The sequence below is a fragment of the Homo sapiens genome, chromosome 1, assembly GCF_000001405.40.
Source record: "Homo sapiens chromosome 1, GRCh38.p14 Primary Assembly".
Lineage (NCBI taxonomy): Eukaryota > Metazoa > Chordata > Mammalia > Primates > Hominidae > Homo > Homo sapiens.
In genome coordinates this window covers 62,775,778-62,800,796 of record NC_000001.11, presented here as the reverse complement: position 1 = coordinate 62,800,796, position 25,019 = coordinate 62,775,778, and the positions used below count along the sequence as shown (strand labels likewise).

Below are 25,019 nucleotides of genomic sequence, written 5' to 3'. Positions count from 1 at the left end.
TTCTTAAATTCTGCCTGGCACAGAATTGGTTCTCAAAAATATTTATTAAAGGAATCAGTGAACTGATATGAAATATAGGTATATCACTAGCAGCACTCTCACCAGAATTAGAATTTTTTTTTAACTGACACTAGAATAAAGAAAAGGAAAGACGAATTTTCCTCAAGAAAACTGCATACATAATTTAGCAAAATCTGGAAAAGCAAGAAAAGGAAAAGAGTTTATAAAATGTGTGAATTATATATAGTGCATCCACATGATGGATTATGCATCCATTAAAAATGTCTCCTAAAATGGGGAAACACTATGCAGAATCTGAAACTTATGTGTCATATGACACAGGCAAGCGCAGGGACAGCGAAGGGGGAATGAAGGGAGTTAGAAAGTAAGAAAGAAGTACAGCAAAATGTTAAAAGTAGTTTCTCTGTGGTTATTTTTATACCACAGTTGCCCACATTTTCCAAATCTTATACAAAAACATTTATTATTTTTAGAATTTAAAAAAATTATTTTTAAAAAGCCACCAAGCTTGGTCTTCTAGATCCAAAATTTTTTAATGAGAGTATGTGCATGCAGGTATCTTCTTTCTAAGTCTGAAAGAAAGAAGGCCACAGGGAAGACTTTTTGGTTCAGACAGTTCTCATCACCAGCCATCCAGAATACTCTGGACAGTCCTCAGCAAGTGTGAAAACCAAGATGCCTTAATCTGGATGGGGAAAAAATGAAGACAGTGAGCAATTAGACATGTTATATGGGGAAGTCTATATCTTAGATAATGATGCCTAAGTAAATACAAAAGCAAGATAAGATGCTGTGACAAATCCATGGAGGCAGAGAGTGGAAGGATGGTTACCAGCGGCTAGGAAGGGTAATGAGAAGGTTGGGGAGAGGTGGGAATGGTTAATGGGTACAAAAAAAAAAAAATAGAAAGAATGAATATGACCCAGTATTTGATAGCACAACGGGGGATTATAGTCAATAATAATTTAATTGAACATTTAAAAATAACTAAAAGAGCATAACTGGATTGTTTGTAATACAAAGGATATATGCTTGAGGGAATGGATACCCCATTTTTCATGATGTAAGTATGACACATTTCATGTCTATATCAAAACATCTCATGTACCCCATAAATATATACACCTACTATGTACCCACAAAAATTAAAATTAAAAATTAAGATGCTGTGATAGATACAGAAATTAATGAAACAAATATTCTAACCTCAAAGGCACTTGGAGTGGAATAAATTGTTGAGTTGTTATTTCATTATTTTTGGTCAAAACTCCTGCTATGTAGCTACACTATTTACTCAGAGTAACTTTACCCCCAAACTTGAAACAATTGAAATGCCTCTGGGACACATCCTTAACTATTCTATGAAAATACTTTCATTATCATTGTTAGATAGAGTAGTTGAGAACGATAAAATTATTTTCGTAAGGTTAAACTAAAGATGAGTTGTTGCTAGTTTAATAAATAATTCAGCATAGTTACTTTTCATATGACTAAAATTAAATTCCATTTTTCTGTAAAGACTGAAACCCACTTTATTTCTGTAACAAAAATTTAAATGGAGCCTGGTGTGGTGGCTCACACCTGCAATCCCCACACTTTGGGAGGCTGAAGGGGAGAAATGCTGGAGCCGAGTTTTCAAGACCAGCCTGGACAACATAGTGAGTTTTTCTCCCTATAAAATTAAAAATTAGCCAGACATGGTGGCGTGTGCCTACAGTCCCAGCTACTGGTGAGGTTGGGGGATCACTTGAGCTGGCTGCAGTAAGCGATGATTGTGCTACTGCACTCCAACCTGGACGACAGAACAAGATACTGTCTCAAAAATAAATAAATAGCCAGGGGCGGTGGCTCACGCCTATAATCCCAGCACTTTAGGAGGCCAAGGTGGGTGGATCACGAGGTCAGGGGTTTGAGACCAGCCTGACCAACATGGCGAAACCCCATCTCTACTAAAAATATAAAAATTAGCCAGGCATGGTGGTGCATGCCTGTAATCCCAGCTACTCAGGAGGCTGAGGCAGGAGAATCACTTGAACCTGCGAGGCAGAGCTTGCAGTGAGCCAAGACTGTGCCACTGCACTCCAGCCTGGGCAACAGAGCAAGACTCTGTCTCCAAAAAAAAAAAACAAATATTAAAATGGCTGTTTCTAAAAATCTTAACTTTGGAGAAATCAGAGATTATTTTGAAAGATGATCCCTTGAGCCATGTTGGAAAGTATCACAAATTGAGACACTTTATAAAGGATAACCAAAAATTCCGATTGAAGAGGAGAGTTGCCTTACCACATATTAAAACACACTATAAAACTACAGTAAAGTTTAGTACTATTTAAATTTATTTTTCTTATTAGCACAGGATAACACTGAATAAAACATAATGGAGAGCACAAATATAAACCCAAGCGTATTTAAGAATTTAGTACCTAATATGAAAAATAACTACACAAGTGAGAAAAGATGGCTAATTTAATAAATAATGCTAAAACAATAAGCTAGACAGTTTTTAAAATAAAGCTAGATGACTACCTCAATAAATGATGAATTCTAGATGAATCAAATATTTAAATACAAATGCAAACACATATGTGCACATACTCCAAAGAAACACAGATTTAAATTATTTTTTAAATCTTGGGGTAGAAAAGGCCTTTCTGGCTGGGCACAGTGGGCTCATGCCTGTAATCCCCACACTTTGGGAGGCTAAAGTGGGTGGGTCACCTGAGGTCAGGAGTTCAAGACCTGCCTGGCCAACATGGTGAAACCTCGTCTCTACTAAAAATACAAAAAAATTAGCCAGGTGTGGTGGCACGCGCCTGTAATCTCAGCTACTTGGGAGACTGTGGCAGAAGAATTGCTTCAACCCAGGAGGTGGAGGTTGCAGTGAGCTGAGATTGTGCTACTTCACTCCAGCCTGGACAACAGAGCAAGATTCTATCTCAAAAAAAAAGAAAAGGTTTTTCTAAGCATGGTATATACAAAACCAGAAATCAGACAGGAAAATGTAATTAAATAAAAATGAAAACTTTGTAGAGAAAGAAGAAAAACAGTATAAGGTTGTTACAATCCAACAATAAGGAAAAAAGTTCAATACCAATTACCAATTACATATATAAAGAGTTAATGTCCTTAATATACAAAAAGGTCTTATAAATCAATAAGGAAAAACCTAAACAGAAAAAAAGGCAATTGGAAAAAGAAAAAGGCCATAAACATACAAAATATTTTCAACCTTACTAGACCTAAGAAATGTACATTAAATGAATTTTTTCATCACAAGAGATCAAACTGCCAATCCTGAAAAAACAAGCATAATTAACAATAACATAACTATTTCTCAAATTATTAACTCATAAACAATAACATAATTATTTCTCAAATTATTAACTCTTTGATGGAAGAGAATAGCACAGCCAGCACTAACAGACATAAAATCATCTGCTGATGACTAAATTATGGCATATACATATTATAATTATATAGATCTATATCACTATAAAAAGATATCGAGGGCATTGAGTGAGAAAAAAAGGGGAACAGCATAAATATAACTTATGCATGTCGATACATAAATATCATATATGTATATACATATGCCCACACATGTACATATATACATAAAACAATGTCTAGAAGTTCATAATGTTAGTTTCTTTTTTTTTCTTTTTCCCCGAGACAGAGTCTTGCTCTGTTGCCCACCCAGAGTGCAATGGTGCGATCTCAGCTCACTGCAACCTCCACCTCCCAGTTTCAAGCAATTCTCCTGCATCAGCCTCAGGAGTAGCTGGGATTTCAGGCATGTGCCACCATGCCCAGCTAATTTTTGTATTTTTAGTAGAGACGGGGTTTCACCATGTTGGCCAGGCTGGTCTCAAACTCCTGACCTCAGGTGATTCGCCCACGTTGGCCTCCCAAAATGCTGGGATTACAGGTGTGAGCCACCGCGCCCAGCCCATAATGTTGGCATCTAAGAAATGAACCTCTACTTTGACTTTCCTCTTTGTATTTCTCTTTATGATTTAAATTGTTCACATTGAGCATCTTTTAAAAAACATCAATATTATTCAAAAGTAAACTGCTCAAATAAAAAACTGAATACACTAAATTACAAATATAACCAGGTTATATTAAATTCTAACAATACAACTGAAACTGCTGGACTAGAAAATTGACAGAGAAGATATCCTATGACAAAATTCCTAAACAGCTGATAAAGTTAAAATGCTGAGACATTTTTTTTCTCCTTTTTAAGATAAAGAACCTTATTCTTGTGGTTCTTAAAGACATCAGATTCAGCTATTTAGTCATGTGAACATTTAACTTCCTCAATTTAATTCCCCATGGCAACTCTAGCTAAATAAAGTAACTTGGAGGATTATTCCTTGTTAATTCATAATTTTTGTTTCTCCTTAAAATAAATGGGGTAACATTTGGAAAGAGAAAAAGTAATAAATTAATGCTTTGTTCTATTAAAATATTTTATTTATATTTGTGTCAGATAAGCCAAGGAAAGCAAGACAAACAGTACCTTTAGTTTAACTACAAATGAGCAAAAAAAAAAAAAAAAAAAACCCACACAAATGAGGAAACCGCTTGCCTGCTTTTGTTAAAAAAAAAAAAATTAAAATGCATTTGACTACAAAGCATAAAGAAAAGTAATAATTTAGCCATAATTATAAAATTAGGAATTTTGTAATAGGATGTCTTCTCTGTCAGTATATTTCAATCCCTGTAGCAGTTAAAATGCCTGGTTTCACTGCCCCAGTGATTAACTGATATGCCAAAATTCCTGTTTATTCTATGTGGTGTCATTAGATTCTCAGTCTGGAAAGCATCAAAATAATATACTTCACAATTTCCAAACTATTTTTAGAAGGCGCTTATGAATTATTTCTTTAAAAACTATGAGAAATTATTAAATCTTCTCTTCTTTTTTTTTTTTTTAAGTAAAAAGGGGTCTCCCTCTGTTGCCTAGGATGGACTGTGCAGTGGCACAATCATAGTTCACTGCAGACTTAAACTCCTGCATTCAAGCAATCCTCCTGCCTCAGCCTTCCAAGTAGCTGGGACTACGGGCATCCATCACCATCCCCGGCTTAGAAAAATTACTAAATCTTTTTTCAAGCAGATGTTCTTTACTAACACATACTACAACAACCTTATCACCTGCCATCTTCATATTTCTGTGCATTGTTAACATTCTAACAAATCCATTTTAATTAGATGCTAATAGTATTAAAGAGAAGAAAACTATTTTATCCTATCTCAGTAAACAAAGGTAAAGCTAACAGATGAGGTTTATTCCTAACTTTACGGTTAATGATACAAAAAGCACAGTGAAGACTAAGCAGAATTCTTTTGGAGAGCAGAGCTACATCTGATATGAAAATTATCGATTGAGACCCAGATGTCATTTTTAGAGAGTCACTTTTCTAACCAATAACCATGCATTAAGATAGTCAAAAAACTGTAAACTGATAAATGTAAAGAGTACTCAAATCAATGTACAAGAAGGGCAGGTGAAGGTAATCAGCCTCTCCCATCTAGCAATAAGTAGACTACTTTATCCACTGAGGATTTAAGGCCAAGTAAATGCTCCTGGCAGAACTTTAGGGATTAAGTCTATGGAATACATCTCAGTCACATAGTGCAATGGGTAAAAACACCGCAGACCTCTGGAATTTGCGAATGCTCAGGCATCTTCCTCAAATAGTATTCTGCTGCTAGATGAAATATAGATATTGATTTAGAATTTTGGATGTGCTTTTAGCTATATCATCAAATAAAATGAACTGTGAAGTCTACTCTAAGTTTTTTATCTATGTAACCTTTTCTACCTGCTTGCATTTTTAGTAAGAAATATCAATCCCTTATCTGATCTTGAAGGTCTCTAACACAATGGGCTATCATCTCTGCTTCTCATTTCTTCTCTCCCTCCTCTTTGTTTACAGAAACATCAATTATTGTGTCCATTTCTATTCCTTCTCTTCACCGATACCTGCCAATCTTCTATCTTCATGCACTGAACTTGTACTCTATAAATGGTCAGTTTGTAAATTCTTTTCCTTATCTTTTTAAAAAGTGGCAAATATGAAGGGGAGAGCAATAGTAATATTTATGTGCAGTGTCCCCTTTCAGAGCTAAGGGGTAGGCAAGGTAGATGGCAGTAAGAGATAATGACAAAAAGACTGAAAAAAGGAACAGCAACACAATAAAGGCAGGACATGCAGGTTCAGAAAATGGCTTTGAAAAGAAGAATAAAGGGCTGATAGCAGAGAGACTAATAAGATAGTTTTGCCTCAAGAAAAATCTTACAAACATTCTTAGGACTCCTCAGGATCACATCCTCCAATAAAAAACACTGAATCAATGCACAGCTACTTTATAATGATGACTTAAATAAAATACCAATGCATTCTTCTCTTAAATCTAACGAGTAAAATACACATGAAAGAAACTAAGTATTAAGCAGACACACATTTATGGTCACACATGACTTCTACCAAGTTCCTCACACCTGGCTTGTGGCAAAAACCTCCACTTCTGCAGCACTGCATATTACATGTTCACAGACTGTGCAAAGTAATCATCATAACCAACCTAAATAAGATGTAAGGAGTTTAAATGACCTCAATCATGTACTTGAAGACCAAAATAAGAATTATTAATGACACCTAGGCTGTTTTAAGATAGCCTTAAGCCTTGATCTTATCTCTAAGAAGAACATAATATTTACCACACAGTTGTTTGATAAATACATTTTAATTATGTCAGGTTCTTAGTAACCTCTGATAAGTCGAAGGTAACTACGAATACTTGGAGCCTCCCTACTTCAAAACGCAACTTTCCAAGCTCTTAATATTAACTCACGGTGTTAACCTCTTATATAGAGATAGTAGTCTTTACATAAGAGGTAACACCGTAAGTTAATATAGAGACTTATATAGAGACTTATAGAGTCTTATATAGACTGCTATCTTTACATAAGAGGTAAAGAGTCAAATCATTTAATCAACAAAGTATAATTAACCCCTACAAGAAATGAAGGATGTTAAGAATCTCAGGACTGAAAGAGAATTTATAAAGCATCTAATAACTAATACTTTTTTTGTTTTTTGGTGTTTTGTGTGTGTGTTGGTTTTTTGTTTGTTTTTTTGGTTTTTTTTTTTTTTTTTTTTTTTCGAGACAAGGTCTTACTCTGTTGCCCAGGCTGGAGTGCAGTGCCAAATGCCTTGATCTCCCAGGCTCAAGTAATCCTCCCACCTCAGTTCCCTAGTAGTTGGGACTACAGGCAGGCACAACCACACCTGGCTACTTTTTTCTATTCTTTGTAGAGATGGGGTTTTGCCATATGGCCCAGGCTGATCTCAAACTCCTGACCTCAAGTGATCCGCCCGCCTCAGCCTCCCAAAGTTCTAGGACTACAGGCATGAGCCACTGTGCCTGGCACTAGTAAGTATTAATATTAACAGTAGTTCTTGACCATTGTCTCACACAATACAAGCTATCATTAATCCTTCCTAATCAATAGTACTTGGGTGGAGAGGAGTAGTGAAAGAAAATGTGTAAATTTAAAAGAATTTAAAAAATCATGGCCGGGCGCGGTGGCTCACGCCTGTAGTCCCAGCACTTTGGGAGGCCGAGGCGGGCGAATCATGAGGTCAGGAGATCGAGACCATCCTGGCTAACACGGTGAAACCCCGTCTCTACTAAAAATACAAAAAATTAGCCGGGCGTGGTGGCAGGCGCCTGTAGTCCCAGCTACTCGGGAGGTTAAGGCAGGAGAATGGCGTGAACCCGGGACGTGCAGCTTGCAGTGAGCCGACATCGCGCCACTGCACTCCAGCCTGGGCGACTGAGCAGGACTCCGTTTCCAAAAAAAAAAAAAATCACTACCACCCTGAGAGCTGTGATCTGCTCTCTGGTTCAGACTCACTAATAACCAGCTACTACTTGGGTTCAACCACCTATACAGTAAAAAGATCTCCTTTAAAACATCCTTGCCAACTGCAGTCCCTCAGCCTCTGACTGAACACTTACTTCTAGAAAAGGGAGGTCAGTACTAAATGAATATTGTACTAAACTCAAAATATGCTATAAATGTAAAAGCCTGATGATGTTTTAAACTGTGTATTTTCATATCTGTTCTAGAGCATCCATAACTGTTTTAGAGTATCCATAGTAACTACATGATACCTGCTAATTTTAAACAACTAGATTTGCTAAAATGATATTATGTGGAACCAAGTTTCTGTCTATACATTATTTTCACTAACTGGTCCTGGTTGTAACCTCTGAAACTAATCCTTCCATTGGAGAGCCCATCTGATATTTAAAGACATACCTCCTAACCTCCCTATCCCCCAATCTTCTCTTTTCTACATTAAATGTCCCAATTCCTTCAACTGATCAGAAGACTGTCTATGAGTGGTAATGAGAACCTCAATCAGGGTACTGGTGAAAGGATTAGAAATGAGTAGATAAGGCCGGGCGTGGTGGCTCACACCTGTAATCCCAGCACTTTGGGAGGCCGAGGCGGGTGGATCACGAGGTCAGGAGTTCAAGACCATCCTGGCCAAGTTGGTGAAACCCTGTCTCTACTAAAAATACAAAAATTAGCCGGGCATGGTGGTGGGTGCCTGTAATCCCAGCTACTCAGGAGGCTGAGGCAGAGAACTGCTTGAACCCCGGAGGCAGAGGTTGCAGTGAGCCGAGATTGTGCCACTGTACGACAGCCTGAGCGACAAAGCAAGACTCCATCTTAAAAAAAAAGAAAAGAGTAGATAAAAGTAGCAAGTTGACATGGTAGACCGAGCAACATCATACAAATATATGGATGTGTATATGCCCACATACCAGAGAGGAGACTAAAGTGACTATGAGATTTCAGGTCTAATGTCTAGGAGCATAATGGTTCCATTAGCTGAAACAGGGAACCCAAGTAGAGAAGACTAAGGTGAAGATAGGAAATTCAGTTTAAGATACAGTGATTTTGAGGTATGTAATAAGTAAATATGAATGTTATCATGGTGCCTTTAAGAGATGACTGGGTAACTGGGGTTCTGCCCTCATAAATAAATTAATTCACTCATGGATTAATGGATTAACAGGTTATCAGAGGAGTGGAACTGGTGGCTTTACAAGAAGAGAAAGTGAGACTGGAGCTAGTGTGTTTAGCTCCTTCACCATGTGATGCCCTGCACCACCTCAGGACTCTGCAGAATCCCCACCAGCAAGAAGGCCCTCACCAAATGTAGCTCCTCAACCTTGGACTTTTCAGCTTTTGTTAACTATAAGGAATAAATTCCTTTTTTACATAAATTACCCAGTTTCAGTTATTCTGTTATAAGCAATGAAAGACAGACTACGACAATGGATAAGACCATTTCCAAGACCCATTATATTAGTTACTCTTGCCAAGAAAAAGGTGCATCCATATTACTGAAGCTAGTACTACATGTAATTTAAACACAAAATATCACATTTATTCATCAAGTATTTGAGTGGTTACTCCTACAAGGCACTGAGGGAGATACAATGAGCCATGAAACCCAGTATCTGCCCTCATTAATCTTACATTCTAATAAGCAAAATGGTTATAACTAACCATAAGGCTGAATGTGGTTATATCTCACAATAGAGATATAAAGTATCATAACTATTAAGAGACATATTTTCCCCCTTTCCAATGAGAATATTCACACATGAATAATATCACAGGGTAAAATACAGTCACAACAAGTATTCTTCAAATACAAAGAAGGACTTAACAAAAAACATAAATCTTTCCATTCTGGTTATAAATACAGGAAAACATTAGACCTATTACTTGGGAATTAGTTAAAGTACCCCCAACAATTATGTCTATTGTTAAAGATTAATGCTTGAATTGTATCATCAGTTAAAAGAAGAGCATTGTTTAAAATGTTCACAAACACAATTGTTTTGGTTTACAAATGGAATCACTTGATGTCACTTTTCTTGCACTCCTAATTTTAAATATCATTATAACTGAAAAAATAGAGCTACAAGTTTAGAGCTTACAAGTCTTAAAACTTAATATTCTCCAGCTGATATAACTGTTCTAGAGTTCTCTATAACTATATATTACAAAGTTTTAAATTATGTCACTTTAGTAGTTTTACAGATAACTGATTTTACAAAGAGTATATTAAAAAGTAATTTAGTAGGAACCTAACTATATTTTACATTCATAACATAATCACACAGAAAAAATAATTCAAATAACTTTGAACACCTATTTTGACTATATATACCTTTAGTGGGATATATTCTAAGAACATAAAATGGCAAAGAAATCTTTACTTGGTAAATCTGTTGCTGGAAGCGGTATCAGTCAGTCTAGTAATTCCAAAACTATTTTATGTGTGTTGTAGGATAGGTTAGATGAGTAAAAATAGTGATATAATTGAGAATCAGAATTCTCTCTTTGGGAAAACAGAGATATAAACAGGAATTGGAAGGAAGTGATGAGAACTCTGCAGTGTTGAATTTGAATTGAAGGTATCCTATGAACTCATGATTTCTTAAAAAATGTATATGTTGGCCGGGTACAGTGGCTCACGCCTGTAATCCCAGCACTTTGGGAGGCCGAGGCGGGTGGATTACCGGAGGTCCGGAGTTCGAGACCAGCCTGACAAACATGGAGAAACTCTGTCTCTACTAAAAATACAAAACTAGCTGGGTGTGGTGGCACATATCTGTGATCCCAGCTACTCGGGAGGCTGAGGCAGGAGAATCGCTTGAACCCAGGAGGCAGAGGTTGCGGTGAGCCAAGATCCGCCATTGCACTCCAGCCTGGGCAACAAGAGCAAGACACTGTCTCAAAAAAAAAAAAAGTGTATATGTGTGTCCATTTAAAGGGTCTAGAACCAATGACACCCCAGTAGCAAAGAGCATATTCAATACCCAGATCTTCATTTCTTTTATTTCTTTTTTTTTGAGACGGAGTCTCGCTCTGTCGCCCAGGCTGGAGTGCAGTGGCGCGAACTCGGATCACTCCAAGCTCCGCCTCCCGGGTTTACGCCATTCTCCTGCCTCAGCCTCCCTAGTAACTGGGACTACAGGCGCCCGCCACCACGCCCGGCTCATTTGTTTTTTTATTTTTTAGTAGAGATGGGGTTTCACCGTGTTAGCCAGGATGGTCCCGATCTCCTGACCTCATGATCCACCCGCCTCGGCCTCCCAAAGTGCTGGGATTACAGGCATGAGCCACCACGCCCGGCCCAGATCTTGGTTTCTAAGAATCATTTTCCACTAAAATAAACCAGGACTCTGTGGTAAAATGGCTGATTCCATGTATTGAGCAGGAAATTTACAAGGTGAGGCTGGAACATCTTATTGTGCAAATAGGAGTAAGAAAGTGCTCAAACACCAATGTGGACATATCCAAAGTTCATGGGAACCAGCTTGAAGGATCTACTACTGACCAGATTTGAGATAATTTCATCACCAAAAGGAATGATGGTAGCAAATTATAACGCACTGCATAGATTTTGAAAAAAAGGATACTTGGGTACATAGTGATACTAAAATAAAAAAGAGAAAGCTCTTATTTAGAGAAGAGAGCCAGCAAATACATGTAGGAATGACAGAAGTGGGAAATCACTATTTGGCAACCACCAATGCTTTTATCAATGGCTACTAAAATCACTGGATAGGAAAACAAAACCTGCAAAACAGAATATCCACATGACCTCAATTTATCACCCCTACAGATTACTAAATACAAAAGGGAAAACATACTTTCGGAATATAAAAATCTGGCTAAACTAAGTGATCAAACTTAATCACCAATAATGGAATAAACGATCATGTTAATCCTAATATGATTAAATGGAAAGTTCAAAACATCACCCATGTAATAGTAAAAAAAAGAAAAAAGAAAAAAAAAGAAAAACCCACAACTCTTCAATCTGAAACTCATTGTGAGGAAAAAATCAGATAAATCAATTTTGTGAGGCATTCTACCTGAAGACAAAAAAAGAAAGAAATGATAAAGACTGTTCTAGATAAAATAGACATATAAGTACTAAATACAATTAATGTCTTTAATTGGATTCGGTATTTTTGTAATGGTATAATGACATTACTGGGATATTTGGAAAAATCTAATTGTTGAATATGGACTGCATATTAGACAATATTATCATATCAAGGTTAAATTATTTGGATATGCTAATGGCATTATAGTTATATAAGAGAATGTGCTAGTTCTTAGGAGATGCATGATGAATTATTTGGGGGTAAAGTGTCACGTTGCCACCTTACTTTCAAATAGTTCAGCAAGAAAAAAAGGTGTGTGTGTGTGTGTGTGTGTGTGTGTGTATTTATAGAGAGAGAAACAGCACTTGTCTAACAGCAAGGAATGAGAGCAAAAGAGGCACTATGTTAACAACTAGTGAATCTAGGTAAAAGGATGTACAGGTATTTGTCATACTACCATTTCAATGTTTTTACAGGTTTGAAAGTAAAAAGAAAAAAATAAGGGAAAAAGTAGAAGTTAGGTTGATTTTAGAGCAGCTGATCAGACTTCATAAAGCCTAACTACTCTTCACCCTATTCAATAAGAGCTAAAAGCAAGTTCAAACTTCGAAAAGGTTTGGCTAAAAATAAAGGTAATAATCCTAACAAACAATAAGTAATCACAAACTAATCACCATAAGTTTTCTATCACAGCTGTAAACTACACATAATCTCAGAACTCTGTGAAAGATGTTATGTGCTGGTGTATCTGGGACAATAGTGAATAAGCAAAACTATTTTATATATTTTCTCCAAATCTAAATACCAAATAAATTTTTTTTCTCAAATTGAGTTTTATTAGTTACAAGGTATCCTAAAATTAAAATGGTGTCACAGGAGTCAAGATGATCTTGAACCCAGTATCACTATTATAATAATGATAATAAACACTTAAAATCTGTACCAAGTATTTTATTAACCTATGTATATATATCATTTCATTTAATTCTCACAACAATTCTATAAGGCTGGCACTATTATTATCCTCATCTTATAAATTTAAAAAAAAAAAGGCTTGGAAAAGCTGTATAACTTCTTCAAGGTCATACTGCTAGTATACAGCAAATAGAGACCATGAATCCAGGCAGTCTGACACCAAAGTCTCTTTGCTCTATACACTCTACCACTTTACTAAGAAATGTAAAATTTAAACAATAAACTATAAATCACTACTGTTTGGGTTCAATATCTATCAAAAATTACATGAATGAAGCATTTCAGAGAAAAATCACAAGTATGTATTTTTCCCTAATGCATGTATATTTATGTATGTACCAAATGAATGAAGTTAGAATTTAACCAGATGCCAGTTTACTACCAAATCTCAAGTGAAAATAAAGATGGCATGTAACTGCATTATTCAGTTACCTATTCATATACATGGTTTAATATATTACAGATAGATTCAAAACAGAGACCAACATATTTCCAGATGCTTTCATGTAGAACCCCACCCCTGCTCAATCAAGAAAAAATGATACCAAAAAAACCTATTTTAGGCATAGTATTACTCAAATATACAAAACTACAACAATGACACAAAAGGGTAAAAATAACTAAGAAATTAACCTTAAACACTGCTACCACAACAAAAAATACTAATAAACAAAGCATGTTTCCCAAACCTGGTCCTCTTTCGATGTTCTCTACCTCGGTGAAGGGTGCAACAATCCTTCCAGTTATATAAGCCAAAAACCTAAGATTAGCCCATGATATCTTCCTCTCCCTCACCTTCCATATCTAATCCATCGCCTAGTTCCACCTCCTGAACACCTCTGGAATCCATCTTACCACCACCACCTTGTCCAAAATACCATCTCTCAATTGGGCCACTCCAACAATCTTCTAACTGGCCTCTCCCCATCCCCACTCTTATCCCCTCTGTAATCAGTTCTTCCTCTGTGTAACATCAAGTCCTTTTTTAATAGCATTTACCACAGTTGTAACTTTAAATTTCTTTGACTATTTGATTTATGTCTGCCTCCTCTGTTAGTAAATTCTATGAGGGTAAACACCGTATTTACTCACTACTATACCACTGTGGCCTAGAAGAGTGTCTAGTTAATAAATAAATGCTAAATGATTGAATGCATGTCAAATATTACAATTTTACTTATATATAGTCCAAAAAATAAAAATAAAGTGCTTTATAAGGCTCACCAATTATTCTATATCACAGATTTTCACTTGTTTTTTTTTTTTTTGAGACAGGGTCCTAATTTCTACCTACCAATCCCTAACCACTATTTAAATTCCACATTAGATCTCATCTTCATGAAACATTCCCTAGTTATCTCTCTTCTCACCTTTAACATTCTAAAACACTCCCGTAAAATCTAATACATATTGACTATATTTTCTGCTTCTTGAAGGGAAAGTTTACATCTCATACATTCTGCTAGAGTATAAGCTCCCTAAGAGCAGGGACTTTTCTTGTTCACTCTATATCCCCAGCACCTTGAAGAGTGTCTGGTATGAATAGCTGCTCAGTAAGCATATGTTGATTTAACGCTCTTTATATATTTCAGGATAGAGCACAGATCCTTGCAGCTGTTGTACAGTGGGAAGAGTCGAAAAGAACTGAATTAATTTCCTTAAATTCTTCAAGCTTCAGTTTTTTCATCTGTTAAATGTAAATAATACTCAATAGCTTAGTTGGAATAACTGCGCTAATGCTTTAAAAGTATCTATGCAGAGCTGAGGACAAGAGGATACTCTTACAAACAAATGTTTTGGTGATTTTGTGACAATAGTTAAATAGTAAGTAGTCACTAAATTCCTACTAAATGAATAAAATCTCAGGAAAAATATTAAAAGATTGAGTAATGGCTACCGTATCATTTTTTTCAATAAAAAATTATATGAGTAAATTTATTCTGAAATATATTTCGCCCCAAATCTTAAGCATGGCTGAAACCATTTCAGCATTTTGTGCATTAATTAGGAATAATCCCAATTTAACATTGTACCAGTATTAATATTTATATTTTACTGACATGTATAGATCATACTTGATAGCTTAAAAAAGAATGATAATCTTAGTATAAGAACCTCTTTAGTGCAATAATTGGAATAGAAAACGAGCTGCAAACTCATTTGAGTTACGTGGTTCCCCAGAAAGCCAGAAAATTTCTGCCTTTTTATAAAACATTAGTGAACAGAATACGATGCTGTTCACCAGAACCATCAAAACATCTAGAAATACTTCATAACCAATCACCATAAATACATTTTTCCAAATACTTGAATCCTATTTTAAAGAAAAAGAGCATTAATTAAATGGCTTTTAATGACTTTTTGCTAAATTATACAATTCTTTAGATGGGCCACTTTTTGACATGTGGTTCTAAAAATTTTATAGCGAATGAACTGGTAATTCAATATAGCCTCAGATTATTGGACTAAATAGAAACTCTTCCTGTTCAAAGAAGAAGCTTTATCAATTTGAAACTCAGAAAATACATAGACTTTACCTTTCAAAGCCTTTCCACTCCCTCTGGGTATTCTCAATGGCTCATAATCTAATTACAAGTCACAAGCAAGCAAGAAGATCATTCCCTTGTCTCTTTCTGCCATCAACTGACACAAAATCATTGCCAAAAACCCACCGGGGACATATGGTCCGAGCAGGAAAACATAAGAAAACTCCTAAGTAATTCGGATATAAAAAGATGTAAGACGAGGTATTCTTCTGTAACTATAGGGTAGCAGTGAGCCCCATGTGGGTAAATAACCAATACAAAACGAAAAGGTAAGCCAAAGAAATCACAAGAAATATAAACTCAATAAGCAGTGATGCTGAGTTGACCGCTGAAGGTTCTCATATATGAATATAGTCATCATATGTAAGAATTTATTCTACACCTCCAACCTCAAAAGCCCTTAGATGTGGGTAGGGTTGGGAGAGTTCACGGTGAGCGGGAACCAAATGAAGTGAATGAACGTTAATATTTAGATGGAAAGGCATTAATATATGCAAGGCAGTGTGTTATGGCTTGAAGCAGTAACAAACACCAAAAAGGGAGAAAGAGGCTAGGAATGAGAACAGAGAGACAGTGGGGATCCAGTTATTATTATTATTTCCCTTTTTTTATTTTTTAAACGAGGAAAAACAGGGCCGACAGAGCACTGGCATGAGGAGGGGTCAAATGGATGCGATAGATCAGGGGAAAGAGTCTTGCCTGCAACATCTAAGAAAACCACAAGGAAAGGAGGAACAGCTGCCCACAGTTAGGCTTACGGTTTATCTCTGCAACCCAGGACAAAGCGAGGAAGAGTTAGAAGACAAATGACACTAGAAAGGAGAGACAAGGAAGGCGCCAAAACCCTCAGAGAACCCAGATGGTTGGCCACAGGGTCTTCACTGAAGGCGGACCCCCGCAAGAAACCCAGTCATTCGGGGACCAGAGACGCTAAGTCCCAAACTTCTTGACTCCTTTAGCCTCAAGCCGATCCCTCACCGAAAGAGAAGGACTGGAGAACTGTAAAAATGTGCAGGAGCCACCAACCCGGCAAATGCTCCAGCTCTAGCAGCAGCCGCCACAAAACCAGCCCGCACACACGCAGACGTTCCGACCTCAGCGCCGCAGCTACAGGTACTTTGAGCACCCCGGCCACCGTAGTAAGAGGAACCGCCTCCGCGTCAAATCCAACAGATCAGCCACTTCCGGGATACGAAAGCCTTGCGATTGGCAGTAGCGATAGCAGCGGCGTAAAGGCCTCTGCTATGCTTACTTTATCCATCCCTTTTTCCCACCTGTTCGCCACCCCAAGCCGCTAATCCACCAATGCAGCAAGCGCAGAACCAAGAGAAAGTATCCGTCTGTGAGCATTGTCTCTCTGATAGACAAACCACATTACGGCTGCCATAAATTCCTCTCGAGCACTTGGACTTCAACTACCAGCAGGCCATGCAGCATCACGCCCTTGCCTCTGGCGTAGGAACTGCAAGATCCAGCATGCATTGCGGCCCTCCTTCCTCGCACTCAGGACCAAGATAGAGCCAACCCAAGCCTCACTTTGATTTAAAAAAAAAAAAAAAAAAAAAGCCAGGATGCCTTCTTTTCCTGTTGTGAAGGAACTCTAAGCCAAGCCATTATTAGGACTGTAGGTTATTTATAAAACATCAAGGGATATGTGCACTCATTTTCCATATTCAGATTATTTTCAAGCATTAAAACACAGGACAGTCGGGCGCGGTGGTTCGCGTCTGTAATCCCAGCACTTTGGGAGGCCGAGGCGGGTGGATCGCTTGAGGTTGGGAGTTCGAGACCAACCTGGCCAACATGGTGAAAGCCCGTCTCTGTTAAAAAATTAAAAAATTAGCCGGGCGTGGCGGCGGGCGCCTGTAATTCCAGCTACTCGGGAGCCTGAGGCAGGAGAATTGCTTGAACCCGGGAGGCAAAGGTTGCAGTGAGCAGAGATCGCGCCACTGCACTCCAGCCTGGGCGACAGAGCGAGGCTTTGTGGGGAAAAAAAAAAAAAAAAGAAGGAAAAGAAAAAGAAAGAAAGAAAAAAGGACGGTCCGAAGATGCTTTTTATAACGTGGAAATTTTTGGCCAGGCGCGGCGGCTGACGCCTGTAATCCCAGCATTTTGGGAGGCCGAGGCGGGCGGATCACTTGAGCCCAGGAGTTCCAGACCAGCCTGGCCAACATGGTGAAATCCCGTCTCTACTAAAAATATAAAAAATTAGCCGGGTGCGGTGGCGCGCGCCTGTAGTCCCAACTACTCAGGAGGCTGAGGCGGGAGAATCGCTTGAACTCGGGAGGCGGAGTTTTCAGTGAGCCAAGATTGTGCCTCTGCACTCCAGCCTGGGCGACAGAGCAAGACCCTGTCTCAAAAAAGTAAAAATAAATAAATAAATAAATAAATAAGTGGAAATTTTTATCTTCACTCCTAAATGATGTCAAGAGAAATACTGTTACTGTAAAATGTAATCCTATGCCGTTTTACAGTACCGCAGATTTTGTTGGAGCAAGGACTACCAGACATGCTTCTGAATTACATAGGAAATTATACTAAAAACTAAAAATAAAATATGAAGTCTATGCCACCGGACTATGAAACCACATGGGAATGAAAACCTTCAAGAATGAAGAGTTGAAAAGTTCAAAATTAAACTTGAAATTTTTTCAATTTTTTAGTGGATTTGGTGGTTTAAATTTTTTTTTATTCTCACAGAAACAGGTAGCTGGATCTATTTATTTTTTATTCATGTACTTGGACAGCTAAATAACAAAACAACAAACAAAGGATATGATAAGATCACAAATGGCACACTTATTAGAGTGAGCAAAGTAGTTTTCTTGCATGATTCCATAGCTTGTGGTTTCCTGTTTCGAAATCCCCAAACTCTGTTTTGATTTTTTTTAGGAGAGAGAGCATGCATCTAACAAGCTGTTTAGATGCCTTTTTGTAACTTTCATAAAGACCTGGATTACAAGAATGCATGTATTTTATTTTTGGTATTGTGCATTAACAGGCCATGAGAAACAATGCTTGGATTCTTAAAATAACTATATATACAAAAGTAAATTGTGTGTATACTACAGACTTGGGTTTTCTGTAGATTTGCCACAACAAATTTTAATTGGTTAGAAAAAAAGGAGTAGAGTACCTTTCCTTTTTACAACTTCACACAGAAATCACAGGAGGAAACTATATTCTGCAACACTGACATGGCATCAGCTGTCATACAAACTGCTTTCCAACTCTAGTGCGTTAAATTATGCAGCGCTAGCAAGTAAATATTTAAAATCTATGATCATGGAAAATAATCTGCTGTTTTCCATGCTCATGCACCAAAACAATATGAATGCAGTGAGAGAGGACATTTCCATTGGAATGATTCAAAGGTAATGTTGATAAACTATAATTAGGTTATCTGATATTCATAGGTGTTTGCCGTAAATAAACACAAAATTGCATCCACTTATTAGTGATGTTATTAAGGAAGCTTTAAAAATATGCTAAATATTTGATACACATATTTCTAAAGTCGTTTCCATGATCAATTGTGTAAATGAACATGGGAGTTTAAAGAGTACATAATTTATGTAATAGACTTTATGTTTTTTGAAGAGATTCTTACAGCTGCAGCACTCAGACAGAACATTCTCTCCTCTAAATGTGTCTTCACATTCCAATTCAGCCAATTGCCAACCATGCAAGAGTTAAAACTGAAGAAGCTGTTCGTTTTAGTTCAACAAAAATAGGATGAGTGCTACTAAGGGCAAGGCTCTCTGTCTGGGCACTATAAGCTGTTTATGAAACACTGATAGTTTTGGAAATTAGTTAAGATTTAAAGGGAAATTAAAAGCATACATGAGCTTTATCAGAATAGAAAACAAAGTAAATATGTGTAACACTGACTTTTAATAATCATCACACATTTGGTTAATTGAAACTTATAATAGCTAATATACCTTCTTAAAGGCAGGATCCGCATCTTAAACATCTGTGCCCCTCCCAGCTCTATGCACAGTACTTTGTGCAGAGTAACTGGCTCTCAATGAGTGTTTGTGGAAGTTCACAGTGATGACTAGGCTGGGTGCAGTAGCTCATGCCTGTAACCTCAGTACTTTGGGAGTCCAAGGCGGGTGGATCACTTGAGATCAGGAGTTCAAGACCAGCCTGGACAACATGGTGAAACTCCGTCTCTACTAAAAATACAAGAAAAATTAGCCAGGCGTGGTGGCGTGCGCCTGTAGTCCCAGCTACTCGGGAGACTGAGGCAGGGGAATTGCTTGAACCCGGGAGGCAGAGGTTGCAGTGATCCAAGATTACACCACTGCACTCCAGCCTGGGCGACAGAGCATGACTCTGTCTCAAAAAAAAAAAAAATTCACAGTGATGACCGAGGCCCCGAAACTGCCTTTTCATGAATACTGCGTAGTTTTAATGTAAGCTGTTTCTAACTCTTGTGCTTTATTTTTTTAATTAGTAATTCAGGTTGTATAATAAAATAACTATTAAAACCAGAATAATCAGAATGTCACATTCAATAATCATGAAAGCAACAATTTACATACACACACACACACACACACTGCTTAGTATATGTGTGTGCGTACTTGTGTATACGTGTGTGTGTGTGTGTACTTATATATAAAAAACACATTTATAATATATAGGTAACATTTATCTTAAGAGTCAAGCCCTTTCTAAAATGTCATCGTATTCCAGGCATATACTTTGAAAGTATACCAACCATTCTAATAGCATTGATTGTGAGGCAGCTCCAGATTTTTGTTAGGACACTTTTACTTCTTAACTTCTATCAAGTGTATTTCTTATCCATCTCCTTCCTGGACCAGGAAAAGATGAAGATTCTATTAAATAAATGTATACCATGAATGATTCATTGGGAATGTTATGTTAAGCGACATTGAACTCAGCCTGGATGGAATGAATACCTTGTAGACTTCTAAAGGCTAAAAAATTATTTTAAAGAACCCGGGAGGCGGAGCTTGCAGTGAGCCGAGATCGCGCCACTGCACTCCAGCCTGGGTGACAGAGTGAGACTCCATCTCAAACAAAAAAAATTAGAAAAAAGAAAACTTGGTGAAAACCTTTCCTCTTTTCCAAGTAATCTTATTTCTATCCCCTCTCTTATATCTTCAACCTCTTTCTCTCTCTCTCAACTATGCTCCCTTTACTTCAACAAACAAATGTGCACAGAATCACCATAATTGTGAAAGCACCTTCAGTGGACTCAGCTTTCCTGCTAAATGCAGTCACTCCCAATGCCCAGGCTAGAGTGCAGTGGTACGATCACAGCTCACTGCAGCCTCGACTTTCCAGGCTCAGGTGATTCTCCCACCTCAGCCTCCTGAGTAGCTGGGACTACAGGTACATGCCACCAAATCCGGCTAACTTTTTGAATTTTTTTGTAGAGATGGGGTTTCCCCACATTGGCCAGGCTGGTCTCAAACTGCTGGGCTCAAGAGATCCTCCCACCTCAGCCTCCCAAAGTGCTGGGATTACAGGCGTGAGCCACTGCACTCGGTCTGGTCTATTCTATCTTCTCTTTTTCCTTTCATAACCACACTTCATCAAGTGCTACAAAGTAAACCTTAGCCTTGACATGCAGCATGGGATCTCTTCACAGCAGCTAGTATTTACTGAACACCCACACCTATGCTGGAAATATAGACAGAATTCAGTAAGGAGCTTATGGTCCCTCAATACAATGTGATAAATGTTATGCTAAAAGTAAGGACAAGACTTTAAGAGAATGAAGAAGGTCAGTTACTCTCAAATTGAGTGAGGACCCTAGAGGAGGAAGTTCCCAAGATGATTTAAATGACAAAAATAAGAATTAACTAGCTGTAGAAGAGGGAGGTTCAGCCAGTTTAAGACAACCTGTAAATTCATTATAGCTGGAACAAGAGAGTGGGGTGAATAGTATGATATAAGGCTGGAAAGACAAACTGGAGCTATTTCACAAAAAGACTTTGTAGACCAGGCGTGGTGGCTCACGCCCGTAATCCCAGCACTTTGGGAGGCCAAGGTGGGTGGATCACCTGAGGTCAGGAGTTCGAGACCAGCCTGGCCAACATGGTGAAACCCCATCTCTGCTAAAAATACAAAAATTAGCCAGGTGTGCTGGTGGGCGCTTGGTAATCCCAGCTACTCAGGAGGCTGAGGCAGGAGAATTGCTTGAACCTGGGAGGAGGAGGCTGCAGTAAGCCAAGATTGCACCACTGCACTCCAGCCTGGGTGACAGAGGGAGACTCCGTCTCAAAAAAAAAAAAAAAAAAAAAAAAAAAAAAGACTGTATACTATGATACTAAGACTGTATACTTTAACCTAAATATAAAGAGAACCATTTAGGAGTGACATAACTAGATTGCATTTTAGTCTACTATTTGCTGTATGAAGAATGGATTGGGCTGGCAAGACCAATTAGGAGATTGTTTTCATAATTCAGTTTTTTACAATGAGAGATCTGAAATAAAGTACTCTAGGGGCGGAAAGGTATTATATCTTTCCTCCCTGCCATAAGAGTCATGGCCAACACTCCTGTAACAAAAGACAGGTTAACAAAAGAAAAGCATTACAAATTTATTTAATCAAAGTTTTATGTGACACGGGACCCTTCTGAAATGAAGACCCAAAAACCCAGGGAAAACTGCCCCTTTTTATGCTTAGATTTGATGAAGAGTGGACAGCCATGGAGAAATGCAATTAGACAAAAAGGAAATTATCTAATAGTAATTGAGTGGGGAAACCCAGTAGAGCCTGACTGTTCAGATTCTTCCTGCCCTCTTTGTGTGACATTCTTCCCTCCTGGGTACAGGTCAGGACTCCTTCTGGAATGTGGGTCTTATGATTTACTTTCAGTCGAGGTAGGTCAGAGAATTCCTTTCAGGCCAGCTCTTACACTGAAAGGTGGGGGAAGGTTAGAGTAGTATTTCTAGATTTTATGGCAGACTTTGGGGGAAAGGCGTTCTAGTTCCTATGACCTGCCTTGGGGAAGAGGAATTCTAGGTTCTATGGCCTCCCTTGGGGAGAAAGGCAAACCGGAGAAAGAAGAGCAGGAGAAGGTCAGAAAGAGATTTTGCATCTGAGCCTTTCCAGTGTTCTTCAAAGCACTCAGCATGCCAAAGTGTCATCGTTTGGGGTGTTATCTTCCAAGCCCCAACAGTAGAGATAAGAGAAGAGTGAAATATTGGCCAGAAATATTAAGATAATAGAGTCAAGAGAAAGTGTGAGTGAGAGAAGGAATCAAGGGAGACTCCCACATTTCTGGCTTTTCAATTTTCCACATGTTGAGTTAGGAATGCTTAAGAGTTGTCCATATAGCTACGCCCAACAGACAGTTAGATACAGAGCTCAAGGGGAAGATTTGAGCTGAATATATAGCTTCTCAAGTCATCCACTTTACAGGACAACTGAAACCATGAGCATAGGTAAGATTATAAGCCATGTGGATGGGGATATGAACTAGTAACCAGGAAGTCAATAGGTGATAGCACAGATAGAGTGGAGAATGACATATGCAAATGTCATGGAATCCTTCAAAGGAATGGGATTTTAACATAAGAGCAGAGGAGTACTGGTTCAGGTGTAGCATTGGAGAATGAAAAGAGAGCTGAACTCAACCACTGACCCAGTATTCTGAATGAATGAGACCAAAAAACACAAAAAGCATAAATTCAAGGTTGCAGGGGAACAAAATCTTCAGGGGAAAGTCAGCATTCATTAAGACCAGGAGGCAAAGCCAGAATTCTGAGGAAAATGAGGATGGAGCAAATTAGAACATCAAATAAGGAATGGAGAGATTCAAACGGAAAAAAATATCAGGAGACTGGACCGTGGTAAAGGCACAGGTGACAACACAAAAAGAAAGAGATGACCAAGAGGACATAATATGAAGTATTATTCACCAGTCAAGGCTTCAAAACAGAAATCCTATATAAATCTGAGGTTCACCCTAGCCTGATGAATGGTACAGCATGGATAAACTTTGAGCATTTTGTTAAGTGAAATAAGCCAGCTATGAAAAGACAAATACTGCCTGATTCCACCTGTATGAGGTACCTAGCATAGTAAAATTTACAGAGACAGAAAGTAGAATGGTGGTTGTCAGGGGCTGGAGGGAGTGAAGAATGAGGAGTCAGTGTTTAATGGGTACAGAGTTTCCAATTTGTATGATGAAAAGAGTTCTAGAAATGGATGGTGGTGATGGCTGCATATGAATGTACTTAAATGCTACTGAACTATACACTTAAAAATGATTACAAAATTGGGAGGCCGAGGTGGGTGGATCACAAGGTCAGGAGTTCGAAACCAGCCTGGCCAATATGGTGAAACCTCATTTCTACTAAAAATACAAAAATTAGCCAGGCGTGGTGGCAGGCACCTGTAGTCCCAGCTACTTGGGAGGCTGAGGCAGGATAATCACTTGAACCCAGGAGGCAGAGGTTGCAGTGAGCCAAAATCATGCCACTGCACTCTGGCCTGGGCGACAGAGCGAAACTCCGTCTCAAACAACAAAAAAAATGATTACAACAGTAAACTTGATGTTATGTGTATTTTACTACACATACACACACACAAATCAGCCTGGTGCAGTAGATCACACCTACAATTCCAGCACTTTGGGAGGCCAAAGTGGGAGGATCACTTGAGGCCAGGACTTCAAGACCAGCCTGGGCAACAGAATGAGACCTCATCTCTATAAAAAATTTTAAAATTAGCTGGGCATAGTAGTACATGCCTATATTCCCAGCTACTTGGGAGGCTGAGGCAGGAGGATCACTTGAGTCCAGGAGTTCGAGGCTGCAGTGAGCTATGATCATACCACTGCACTGAAGCCTGGGTGACAAAGCAAGAGCTTGTCTCTAAAATAATAAAAAACAAACAAAAAATTGGAAGGAAAAAAAAGCAGTGCATGCCAAAACCATGCGATGACAGAAGAATGTTCTCTCCAACAAATGGTGATGGGACAAATGAAGTTGGACTCCTACCTCATACAATATACAAAAATTGAATTAAAATAGATCAAATACATAAATATGAGTTAAAATGATAGAACTTTTAGAAGAAAACATACAAGTAAATCTTCATGGCCTCAATTTGGTAATGGCTTCTTAGATATGATACCAAAATAACCAAGAAAGAAAAAATACATAGGCCAGGCATGGTGGCTCATATCTGTAATCCTCACAGTCTGGGAGGCCAAGGTGGGAAGACTGCTTGAGCCCAGGAGTTTGAGATCAACCTGGGCAACATAGCAAGACCCTCTCTCTACAAAAAAATTTTTTTAAATTAGCTGGGCATGCTGGTATATGCCTGTAGTCCCAGCTACTTGGGAGGCTGAGGCAGGAAGATGGCTTGAGCCCAGGAGTTTGAGTCTGCAATGAGCTGTGATCAACACTGCACTCCAGCCTGGGTGACAGTGCAAGACTCTGTCTCAAAAAAAAAAAAAAAAAAAAAGGAAAGAAGAAA

At 38.2% G+C, this 25,019-nt stretch overlaps 1 protein-coding gene across 2 annotated transcripts in view, besides 4 other annotated features; it reads right to left on the bottom strand.

Annotated features, from left to right (window-relative positions):
• The window catches only part of ATG4C (autophagy related 4C cysteine peptidase), an 81,385-nt gene extending 64,720 nt beyond the window's left edge, over positions 1–16,665 (bottom strand). Inside the window, exon 1 of one of the 2 annotated variants that reach the window (NM_032852.4) lies at positions 16,524–16,665. The gene's annotated coding sequence lies outside the window, so the exon portion shown is untranslated. The remainder of the gene's footprint in view (positions 1–16,523) is intronic. The other variant, NM_178221.3, reaches the window with a different exon arrangement.
• Positions 16,185–16,479: a silencer, noted in NCBI's record as "tiled region #3967; HepG2 Repressive non-DNase unmatched - State 1:Tss, and K562 Repressive DNase matched - State 1:Tss". NCBI's record gives its function as "represses a minimal TATA promoter and a strong SV40 promoter by Sharpr-MPRA in HepG2 and K562 cells {active_cell/tissue: HepG2 | K562}" and the evidence as "EXISTENCE:reporter gene assay evidence [ECO:0000049][PMID:27701403]".
• Positions 16,455–16,634: an enhancer, noted in NCBI's record as "active region_1121". NCBI's record gives its function as "activates an Ori minimal core promoter by ATAC-STARR-seq in GM12878 lymphoblastoid cells {active_cell/tissue: GM12878}" and the evidence as "EXISTENCE:reporter gene assay evidence [ECO:0000049][PMID:35858748]".
• Positions 16,755–16,814: an enhancer, noted in NCBI's record as "active region_1120". NCBI's record gives its function as "activates an Ori minimal core promoter by ATAC-STARR-seq in GM12878 lymphoblastoid cells {active_cell/tissue: GM12878}" and the evidence as "EXISTENCE:reporter gene assay evidence [ECO:0000049][PMID:35858748]".
• Positions 16,915–16,964: an enhancer, noted in NCBI's record as "active region_1119". NCBI's record gives its function as "activates an Ori minimal core promoter by ATAC-STARR-seq in GM12878 lymphoblastoid cells {active_cell/tissue: GM12878}" and the evidence as "EXISTENCE:reporter gene assay evidence [ECO:0000049][PMID:35858748]".